Raw genomic sequence first — 11,958 nt, forward strand, 5'->3', positions numbered from 1 at the left:
GGAAGATACTCCTCCTGCTCTGGGAGGCCAAGGAAGATTTCGGGGGGGCGGAGTGGGATGTGAAGAACTTGAACCTTGAAGATTCACACATGATCAGAAGGAAGTGGCATAAACAAAGACTGTTCTGGGGCCAGCAAAGAGTTTATTTGGGTTGATTTGACAGTTTGGAGATAAAGGTCTATGGGGCCCAGTTTGTCAAGGACTATGCTCTCTCTGTAAGGTTTTTGTCCTTTCAAAGCAAATTCTGTGATATGAGAGGCCAGGCATCCATTTATCAAAAGATTCCCTTGCAAATATTGTCACTGTGATCCACCTGTCAAGCAAAAAGCCAGGGCACATAAGAAGGCGCACTTTTCTCTTTTGTCAGTAAGGTTGAGTGGCTCAATATGCATTCCTCGAAAAGTATATTAGAAGAACTTTCTATGTCTGGGAGCATTTACTTTTGATTAATTTTAATACCGCAAACCTCAAAATAGGAGGAGGTTGCCCTTGGGATGCTCTTGTGCCTTTAAGCTTCATATCAAAATATGGAACATAGCCTGTGATTTCCATGAAGCTGAAGGCAGCTTAAGGCTGAGATACTCAGAAAGGTGACTTGTTGGCAGAATTGATCACATTGTCAGGTAGATGGAGCAATATATGAAGTAAAAATCATTTGTCATTTATTAGTGGGGAGACTTTGGAGCAAGTCACCTCTTCTTCCTATTACCCAGTGGCTGCATTTGTAAAATTAGGGTGTCACACTGATCATCAGTAAAAAATCAAATATTTCTAAGTCTTTTTCTTAGGCAGCAAAAGCCCTTTAAGTCAATCAACCCAATGCAGAATCCCAATATATAAAGGAAATAAAAGCAGGGTGGAGGATCCTGCTGAGGCCTCAGAGTACTCTGCCTTTTGCCCTACCCTGAGAGTGGGGCAGAGATGGACAACTGGGCCTCTGTGGGTCTGGTGTCCAAGCTGATGAACTTCAGGACTGCTGAGATTCCTCATATTTCAGACATGCTACAATCCTGTAACAGTGTAAATTACCATGACACAGAGGGCTTGGAGGTTTCAATTTTTCCATTAACTTGATTGAAAAGTTTTAGAAAATAAAGTCATCTTCCATGGGCCTCTCTGTTAAAAATTTGCTTAATATTTATTTATACAATGGTTTTTCCCAGACATATTTCACTTGAATATACTAGAGCTCAAACACCAAGTGCCCTTTGAAGAAGGGCATTGAAATACAACAGATTGTATGTATGTTGGAGATATTCAGCTAGGAAGCTATCTTTATTAGAAATGATACTGAAGTGTTTGCAGTAAAAGTCTTGTCTGGCATTGGAACAGAGGTGAGGAAACTTAAAGGAATAGGTTCTCTGAGCTGTAGAAGAGGCTTCCTCTGGAGCTGGTTGACCCTTGTCTATTGATGATCCTCCAAGTGAGAGTAGCTGTGGTCATACAGAAGGGCAAATGCTCCATTCCTAAGGAATTTGAGGAAATAGGAAAGCAGCTGAAAGATGCTGATATCCTAACCCTTCAAAAGTATCCCTGTCCATTCCTGCTGTGTTAGAGCAGTTAATACTAAGTTGGAGAAGATAATGCCTTAAAATAAGGGCTTTGCAAGCCTCCTAGTATTGTTATCCTCCAGCAGCCAACCTTAACTGGAGAAGAAAGTCAAGGCCTTGACTGTCTCTAATGCTACCAAAACCTTGGACCACACTCTAAGCAGGACGATTATGCACAAACCGCAGAATTAATGCATCATAGGCTTAGAAATCATATCCTATACCCAGTCACCAACTACTATCTAAGAATATCTGTGGCCAGGTGGCATGCTCCATCTCAGAGAAGCAGGTGTACAGGCCAGAGGATTCCCATGAGCTTCTTGAGCCACTCAAACTTCACCTTAGTGGCTGGGAAGCCCTGGAGCTAGCAAGGGGACGTGGTTGTCTCCTCTGTAACTCATTTACAGTCATGTATTCAATAACTAGGTTTTATCCGGAAGATTTTATCTTCAGAAAGTCTCAGATTCATCAATAATTCCGTGAGAGTTACACTTGAAATTCTATGATAATTTCAAATTCTATGCTAATATTGTATTACTATGCTAATATTTCTATGCATCTAAATCTAAATGCACATTATTATACACTTTTTGAAAGTAAAACAAAGAAACAAGCCCTGACAAACAGAGAAGTCAATGGCAAGTTGAATTTTGTATGGTGACTTTACCAGAAAAGATAGCTAATTATTCCTGCTGTGTAGGGTTATTCTAATTCAAACTCTAATACTTTGAAAAGTCCCTTAACCTCTCCAATCCTCAGTTTCCTCTTCTGTAACATAGATTTAATAAAATTTACTTTGCAGAATGGTTGTGAGAAGCAGAATGTATATATTTTTTACCTTCTTAGAATGGTAGTGGCTTATTATAACTAATAACTAGTAACTTTATTATTGTCACTTTTAGTTTCTATTTGCCAATCAAATGATTCTGTTGATCAATTGTGTCTGAACCATGAAGCCATTAAACACAAACTACTTATTTAAACTTGTCTGAAACACTTACCCTGCCAACGATTGGAGATTAGACAAGCTATGTCCATACCTAGAGCACGTGAGCTATGGTCCGTGGTCAACTGTCTAATGATATGTTGACATTCTGTAAATGGGAAGTATGGATTCATTATAAACCTTAAAGGAATACTAAATAAGTTACCATAATAGTTTAAGTTACTACTAGTACATGGTTTAGTCTTTTTGAAGGCAATTCTTATATAGTTCAGTTCAGACCAATTTCTCAAACACACAGGATTAATATTAAATAAACACATTGACAAAGTAATGTTAGGGAAGACACTCCAGACTTGCTAGCTTAGTGCTAATGTGGACAAAGCTTAAATGGCTAATTCTACCTAGAAAGAAAGGTTTGAAGAGCTATCTCCTCTCTATTCTTTTGACTAAGGCTATGCTGTTTTTCTTAGCTCATGTGAAAAAAAAATACTCAGAAAAAGATTGCTAGGTATTTCTTTCCTTTGGTGTATTTTTTTTCAGCCAAAGTGTAAGACCTTGCTTAGATGACTAGCAATTAAGGAATTTTTGTGGTTTATTTCCTGATCTAACTGCTTACTTCTGAAGAAAGCAATTCTGACAAGCTTCAGTTAACCTGGATCTTACCAAAACCATAGTGCCAAAAACATTTTTGAAAGATTCAGATAGAAAAGCCAGGCTGGAACTTTAACAATAAAACGCTTCTTAAGGTTCTGTTTCCTAGGTCACATGGATGTTTTTTCCCCCTTGGATACTGATTTTGTAGAAAATAATATATTTTTCTGTGCATTAACTTCATGTTTTAATAACATTGGAGACCTGCAGCTGAACAAGAAGTGAGGCAAATAGTCAAATCAATGATGATTATTCTTACAATAATACTTTGAATTAATAAAGCCTTTACTTAGAAATATTTCAACACTTTTTTTTATAAATTTTACCTCTTTTCTCTGTAAGCATTAGTTGAATATGGATTTGAATTTTAAGTCTCTTTCAAGAATTGTTATAAGGAAGAAAAGAACTTTTAAAATCCACTTTCTGGGAGAAACTCAAAGATGTCACATTCAGTGTCAAGATGTAGAATTGCATCCTCCTGATTACCGGTAAATGCTGAGTAGTGCTAGCATCAGGGGGGCATGAATCAGCAGCTCAAGTGTGCCCCCAAGGATTAGATATTTTCATGTCTCTGTCTGCCATCTGTGGTGTTGACTTCATCTGATGAGGCTTTACTTAATGTTGCAAAATGACTGCCAGCAACCGCTAGGGCTGTTTGCTGTCTGGTTGGCCCAGTAGGTGCACATGATCATTTTTGCTCCAGTATTCTCTGCAGCTGTCCTGAGGTTCACTCTGATGGTACTGGCTTAGTTGTGGCTTTGGGAGGCCCATGGACTGTGTCTGTTGGCCAGGAAAACACAGCCAGGCTCCATATCTGGAGCCCTGAGCATATGGTCCAACAGGCGAGGATACATTCCTCTGGAGTTGCTGATAGTCAGATAAAACCTAGACTGAAACACAGAAATGTCCATGATATTGGTCACCAATTCACAAAGCTATGCTTTGGGAAAATACTGTTGATGGTAAAAGTCCGGTGAGAGTGGAGCCGGTGAGTAGAGACAAGAGGGTAGAGATACTAAGGACTTTTGAGCAGGAATATGACAAAGCAAAATGGCAATTTAGGCATTTAGGAATGGTAATGATAATGACAGTAATATCTTGCGGGACTAGTGCTTAATATTCTCCAAAGCACTTTCGCTTACTTGAGAGCTCTGGATCCTTTTGTAAGGTAGAAGGGGCAGGGCATATACCTATTTTGCAGATGAAATAGGGGTCCAGAGAAATTATTTACAGCTAATAAAAGAGCAAGGATGATGATTCAATCCTCTTAACTTTTTGTATAGTTCTCTTTTAACTATATTATCATGTATGATACAAATTATTATATTAACTACACCAAAGAAGATTACTGATATAGTAATTATTCACAGAATATTTAGTGAATGATTATAATGTACCAGGAATTATGTTTGTTGTTGGGGCTGAAGGACTTTACTAAGAGGTAACACCACATAGCCAAATTATTGATCATCAGCTAAATAAAAGCACAGAGTGATACAAGATTAATGTAGTCTTGAAAGAGGTGGAGGTCCAGTTAGGGAAGTTTCCTGGAGTAAGAGCATCTCAACTAAAACCTTCAAGACAAATAGGGGTAAGGCAGATTCACAATAGAAGACCAAGAGTGTAGCAAGAGCAAAGCTTTCCAACAGGAAACAGCATGTACAAGGGTCCTGGGGCGAAAGCATGCGATGTAGAAAAACTGCACAAAGTTCAATACGGCTGGAGCACCAAGTGCCATTGGTTGAGTCATAGAGACGAAAGAGGTTGGAGAGATGGGCTGTGGCCACACCATAAAGTGCCTTGAATGCTTTAGTTTTTTACTCTGAGGGAATGAGGGAACATGGAAAATGTTTTACAAAAGTCACTCAGCTTAGAGAATGGAAAATGGGTGAGAATAGCGGGAGGAAATGGGACAAGAAGCCTATTATGACTGTTTCAGTCAACAAGGAGTGAGGTAATGATGGCTCAGACTAAGGTAGTGTCAAAGGAAGGGAAATAAGTATGTACATGGGTTTTTGAGGTATTAAGATTGCAAACATACAAAATATTATTTTACTTCAAAGAAATAAGTAATGTCTATTCAGAACACTTAGTTTTATCTTTTCGTTCAAGGTTCACTTAAAATTTTTTTTCATTGAATTTTCTTTATTCAGCAAACATTTATTGAAGCAACTTCAACAAGCCAGATATTCTAATACTCCAAGTGCTGGCATTCTTGACATCTAAGTTGTTTAGAATACATTTGCTTCTTTCAGGCATATCACAAATTGGTCAGTTTCAGCCTTATTATACTTTATTTTGGAACTGTTCTGAATTAATTTTATTTTGAGTGTAAGACAGTTGTGAGATAACACTTTTTTTGCACATATTCCTAAGCTAAAAAAACATTATTTTTCTAATGATACCTGGGAGAAAGTCAAAGACATGTCTTGAACAAATCACTTTACCACTTGATATATAACTGTAAAAATCACTACAAAAATTACTCGCACTGCATTTTGTGGGGCTTGCTGAAATTTCAAAATTAGGACAATTCTATATCCAACAGATGCAAATGAGAAAAGGTATTTAGCTCCTGCAGGGAATAAAAGGATGTAGGCAAACATGCAGTATTTGTTTACTAATTAATTCAGCTAAATTTTGATGAAGTCCAATGTTTGAAAACACTCTATTTATTTATGGAATTAAAAGTCCATACGCTCCTCCATTATCAGCAGGCTGGGCACATTCTTCACCCAGGTATCAGCTCCTCTAGTAATCTCTAAGCTGTTGTGGCGCTTTACAACTCTGGCTGATAAAGGCAATTCTAATTTAGTGCACACGTTAATTATCAGTAATATTAAATAAATATATTGGAGCTATTTACATGTGTCATTCGTAGTTGCTGTATGCTAAGGAAAATGATTATAATTGTTCTTATTAGTTATCGTATTTCATGTTTCTGCAATGAAATTCTTTTTTGGGGGGGTTGTTTTGGGGAATATCTTAGTGAGGAAAAAGGGCTTAAAATATAAAATGTTCACAAGGCACTGAATAGGCTTTTTAATTCATTAGTCATATTTTATTGAAAAATTCCTTTGTGTTATTTGTTTCTGAGCACATGTAAACCAGGTTAAAAAGCAGCAGCCAGTCAATCTTCCTTAGTAATAACTGGGAAAAGAAATTATAATAGAGAATAAAAAACAGAATACCTGTGAGATTTGAGAAAGTTTAGATTTCTCTTTATTTTTGTACACAGTTCTGTTAGGAGTTGAATATGAAAACATGAAGCATACCTTTTGTTGCCTGAACATTACCCAACTGGAATCCAACTCATAGTAACCCTGCAGGATAATTTGTTTCCATAGCATCTTTTCCTAAGCTGAAAGCATTTCACTCTACCCCATATTGAATAAAAACTTATATTTCTAATATGTGGATTACCTGTCTGCTGTAGACACCTGATTAATTTTCAAAGTTGATTCAGTATTCTAAACTTTGCTATGACAATAAGAACTGCCAGATGTTCACTTGAATTGATTTATATAGAATGATGCCTCAGTTATTTAGTGCAATTGTGGGAATCAAATATTTCAAAAAATGGATTATTTCCAAATAGCTGAAGTTCAAATCTTTAAATCGTTTTCATCCTGAGCACTATGTATCATCCAAAGCTCAAGTCAACATTGCCTTTTTTGAAAATCCTTCCCTAATCTCTCTACCAGCCCCAGTTAGAGTTTATGCTCCCTTTCTTTGTACTGCCACACCATTTTGTATTGTAAGCTCCTGTTCTACTTATCTGTCCTTATCAGCCTCCTTCCTTCTCCCTCGCCCTACTAAATCACTGAAAGTTGGAACTCTGTCATACATTAATACTTCCAGTGCCTTATGCCACGTCTCATATACAGTAGATAGATTTTCACCACGTACTTGAAGCTATTTGAAAATAGAACATACACTTTCCTTTAAATAAAGTTTATTTAAAAATAATAATCAAAGTTTGATCACTTATGTTTATCATTATGGTCCAGAGGTCCATACACCTTCCAAATGTATATCTACTCATCTCACTGCTGTTCGTCTCATGGTTGAGCTGCCTAGGGTTTGTGTTCCCTTTAATGAGTTTCTAGAATGAGGTGAGTTCTTGGTGTCAGATCTCTAGAGCTGTTGCAAAATGCTTTGGGGTCCTTTGAGCTGACTCCAGACATCAGGGTGTCTGCCCCTCCATTCTTTAATTGACCTTTCACTCTCTTCCATTTCCAATGACCCTCCTCATCTCTTTTCCCTTTAGTTTTGGCAATTGTTGGCTATTAAACCAAGTGCCATGGTTTTCAAAGCAATCACTATCTTTTTTTTTTCCCAGGACATAAGCCAACTCATCCCAACACACCTTATGACATCTTTTTGGCTAGTGTCGTTACTGAACTCTAGATTTAATCACATTCTGAATGCCTAAACTGAATATTTAATGTGTCCAGAAAGCTGCTTTCTAGAAGATTGAGGTATTAAAATAATTGATTCCCATTTCGAATGACTCAAAATTTGTTTTGTGTCGAAAAAAAAAAACCCTCTAGAAATGTAATTTTAACTTAGCAAGCAAAAACCAGAATATGTACAGGTATTACATTTATTTCAAGTAATTCTATAAAATTTTTTACTTTAAATTACTTTATGGTAAGATTCTTCATCCATTTCCTTTAAATTTTTCCTAGACTCTTACTAGTCTTTTAGTATCACATGACTCTTACTTTAGGACATGCTTCTTTCTTTCTTTCTTTCTTTCTTTTTTTATGAGACGGAGTCTCGCTCTGTTGCCCAGGCTGGAGTGCATCGGTATGATCTTCGCTCACTGCAAGCTCCGCCCCCCTAGTTCACGCCATTCTCCGGCCTCAGCCTCCCGAGTAGCTGGGACTACAGGTGCCCACCACCACACCCGGCTAATTTTTTGTATTTTTAGTAGAGACGGGGTTTTACCGTGTTAGTCAGGATGGTCTCGATCTCCTGACCTTGTGATCTGCCCACCTCAGCCTCCCAAAGGACGTGCTTCTTTCTGAGAGCTAACCTAGATACTTTCTACAGTGATTTTTGTCTCTTTTTTGCTGCACCATTTCCAGTGAAGGCACAGGTTTTTCACTTACTGACATAGTCCATCTCTTGAAAGAATTGGTGACTACTCTAGAATTTATGTTTTTCCCTTAATTGTTGCTCCTTTCCAAGATGCACATTAGAGCAGCATTTCTCAAAATGTGATCCATTGGCCATCTGCATCAGAAGAAGGCTTATTTAGTATTTACTGTAAAAGTTCCCCAAAACTCCACTCTATGTATTCACTTATTCACTATTCGGCTTTGTATAAAAATAAAAGTAATACCAATAATAAGGTGAGATTAAGTAAATTTAGATTATGGTCCACTCTGAACCCCTGATTATCCTCCTTGTATGTTCAAAGCCAGCCTGTTTAATTATGTGTTATAGTGTTTAAAAGGCCCTATAGAGGTCAAATAATCTTTCTCAGTTACATTTGAGAAATTCTCCTGTGTTTCCAATCCCAGGTTGGATTCTCCTTTCTATCCATCCTCACTCCAGGTGAGTGCATCCAGTCTCATGGCTTTCAATGACATGTATGCGCTGATGGCTTCCAAATTTATAACTCTGGTCCAACCTCTCCCCTGCACTCAGACCCATATATTCAATTACCTATTTGTCACCTCCATTTGAGTGTCTAATGGGCATCTCACACTCCATGGCCAGCAAATCTTAAGATAACTGAAAGATAATTCTTGACTTCCATCCTAACATCTAAAACCCATACTACTTCAAATCTTCCCCATTCCAATGAGGATCACTACGTTTATTTATCTTCTCAGGCCAAAAATCTAGGAGTCATTTCAGATTCCTCTCTTTCTCTCATTTCTTACATCCAGTTCATTGGCAAGTCCTACTGGTACCACATCCAACATATATCCTAAATCTGACCAGTCTTTGCTCCCTTCGCTACTATCATGCAGCTTCAAGCCACTATCCAGTTGGCTTGAATAGTTCTTGTAATAGCCTTGTCACTGTTTTCATGGCTGTCACTGCTATCCTCTACCCAGCAGCATAATCAGCTTTTTATAACGTTAGTCAGATTGCATTATTCCACTACCCAAAACCCTCTGAGCCCCCAGCCATACTCGGAATAAACCTAAGGTCCCTACCATGGTCTACAGAAAGCTTACATGATATAGCCTGCCTGCTTCCCCTACCTTCTCTCCTACCGCTCTGTCCTTGTTCACTAAGCTCCTGGCATGTTTCTACCTCAATGTCTTTGCATGTGTTGTTTCTTCTGTCTGGAATCCCCTTTCCCCGTGTATCACCCTGAATTTTTCTATCACTTCCTTTAGGTCTGTGCTCCAATCACCTTATTTGAGAGGGCTTTCTCATTTAAACTGCTATCACTCTCCATTTCCTTACTCTGCTTAACTTTTCTCCAAAACATGTACACTATCTGGCATTATATTACATACTTATTTTGTATGTTTACTGTCTATATTATTCCTGTCTGTGTTACTCTACTGGGAGCAGCACTTCTCATGCATTACTGTTTCTTCAGGGCCTGGAACAGTATAAGCACATAATATCTTTTGAATGTGTGAATTTAATCCATGTCCCCTCTTCCTACAATACTTTAGTTAAATTGTGGCTTAGAGTTTGAAAGAAAACATTTTGAAATTTTTCTATGGCCTAAAGTGACAATGACATCACTCAACTTTGGGTGGTCATTAAATTAGTCTGTTATTTATTTATTTATTTCTGAGACAGAGTCTTGCTCTGTCACCCAGGCTGGATTGCAATGACATCACTCAGCTTTGGGTGATCATTAAATTAGTCTGTTAATTTTTTTTTTCCAAGACAGAATCTTGCTCTGCCACCCAGGCTGGAGTGCAGTGGCACGATCTCAGCTCACTGCAACCTCCACCTCCTGGGTTCAAGCAATTCTCCTGCCTCAGCCTCCTGAGTAGCTGAGATTACAGGTGCAAGCCACCACACCCAGCTTTTTTTTTTTTTTTTTTTGGTATTTTTAGTAGAGATGGGGTTTCACCATGTTGGTCAGGCTGGTCTCGAACTCCTGACCTCATGACCCACCCACCTTGGCCTCCAAAGTGCTGGGATTACAAGCATGAGCCACCAAGCCCAGCCTAGTCTGTTAATTTTTACTTTTTTGTTGTTTGAAATTGTATCCTTAAATCTGATCACACTTATTTTATTATTGAGACCTCTCTTTTTCTTGGCTGAGCATTCCTAGAGCCTCATAGCTGGGCCCTCTATATCCCCAAATCTAAATTATAGCACGACCATAATTGTTTTTATCATTTGATATCACTGTGAATCTGCAAGTATAAGTAATCCACAGAATTTCTTCTGAGACATTTCTTGATTTTGTGTTCTTATTTATAAGTTAGATATACTTTGGACATGTTTAGTTATGTTTTTGCTCTCCAAGTGGCAATGAAAATATGTTAAATTGGATATCAGAAATATTAAAAGCTTCTTTTTCTTAGCTTGGCATCATCAATTGTGCTCATGTAGGTAGTTGAAGATACTATGCCCAGAATTTAGTATATGCATTAAATGTGATAGAGTTCACTAAGAAACGTAAAAATAGAACAAAATGCAACACTTTGCTCACAGATTGGAGGTGAGGTGATTGGTATGTTAATTAAAGGTGACCTCAACACTCTTAATATTAACCTCCTGATTTTCTCCAGTGTTTCAGGTGGAAAAAAATTATTCTTCAATATTCGTAAGAATGAGATTGGATAAAGGACACAAATGAAGTCCAGACCAAGTACAAAAACATGAGCTCCTTCTCCTGGCTGCTCAACTAATGCAGACTTAGCCTGAGGATGAGATAACTATCTCAACAGCCATTCCATTGCTCAGACTTCAAATTATAGTAATTATGACAATTTGTGCCAATAGCCACGAGGTGGGATTTTTGATGTGGTTAAAAATAACATCTGTAAAACCCAATAAAAATTACATTTTGCTAATTTTCTGATAAGATACTGTTTTAACTATACTGTGTCTTCTGCCGCTGCCAGTTTTCAATTAGAGCATTCCTTAAAAAAAATTTTTTAACCCATTTTGTTTCCTGGATCCAATTCCATCCTCAGCAATGCATTTGTTTTAATGCTGTTAATTAATTGTTTTGTGTGAATTTTGCCTTTCATACTGATAGTAATCTTCGAGACTTTATTAATGTGCTGATTGCTAAATCTTGATACAAAAGGACCAATAGCACGACTCAGCTTGTTCTTTCTGGCTTAGAAAACAGAGTTCCCATAGCGGCCTGCTCAGCCAAGTCAGTGCAGAAAAGGACAATGATGAAGCGAATAATGGGGCTATTAAACAGGTTGGGTCTGCAATTCTGTTGGACTTGGAAATTGCTAGCTCGCTCTAGGGGCACAGCCATTGGTGATATTTCACAAAGAGATGCCCTCAAATGCATTGTAACAGTGCATCGTGTCTTCCTGTGTTATGTTTCCTTACACCCCTTTCCTCTTGATTAATTTTTGATGAAAAAAATATATATTTTCCCATCTCTTTATTTCACAGGTGATAAAGTTGAGGTTTCGAGAGCTCAAGTGGCCTACCCAACTTAGCTCAGAAGGTGGATGAGTACCAAAGGCAGGACCTTTTGATTCTCCTCTCATTGGTCTTCAATTTAACCATGTGGCCTCCAAACCAATATGTTTGTGTGTGGGTAGCGCCAACTGCTGCTTCCTCAGAAATCATTTTCTCATCTTTGCCCTTTGTTTACTTCATCTTCTCTCTAAACAAACAAATAAA

At 37.9% G+C, this 11,958-nt stretch overlaps 1 long non-coding RNA gene across 2 annotated transcripts; it reads right to left on the bottom strand.

The window, feature by feature from the left end:
- Positions 1–1,243: 1,243 nt before the first annotated feature.
- LOC105374242 (uncharacterized) lies at positions 1,244–3,222 on the bottom strand. Of its 2 annotated transcripts, none has more exons than XR_924755.2 (3): positions 3,160–3,222; positions 2,552–2,644; positions 1,244–1,466 (listed from the first exon to the last, which is right to left on the bottom strand). It is a non-coding gene; the product is annotated as an uncharacterized LOC105374242 (long non-coding RNA). The 2 variants fall into 2 exon arrangements; XR_924754.3 differs by having other exon boundaries at positions 3,113–3,190.
- Positions 3,223–11,958: the final 8,736 nt, after the last annotated feature.

This window comes from Homo sapiens, chromosome 3 (genome assembly GCF_000001405.40).
Source record: "Homo sapiens chromosome 3, GRCh38.p14 Primary Assembly".
Taxonomy (NCBI): domain Eukaryota; kingdom Metazoa; phylum Chordata; class Mammalia; order Primates; family Hominidae; genus Homo; species Homo sapiens.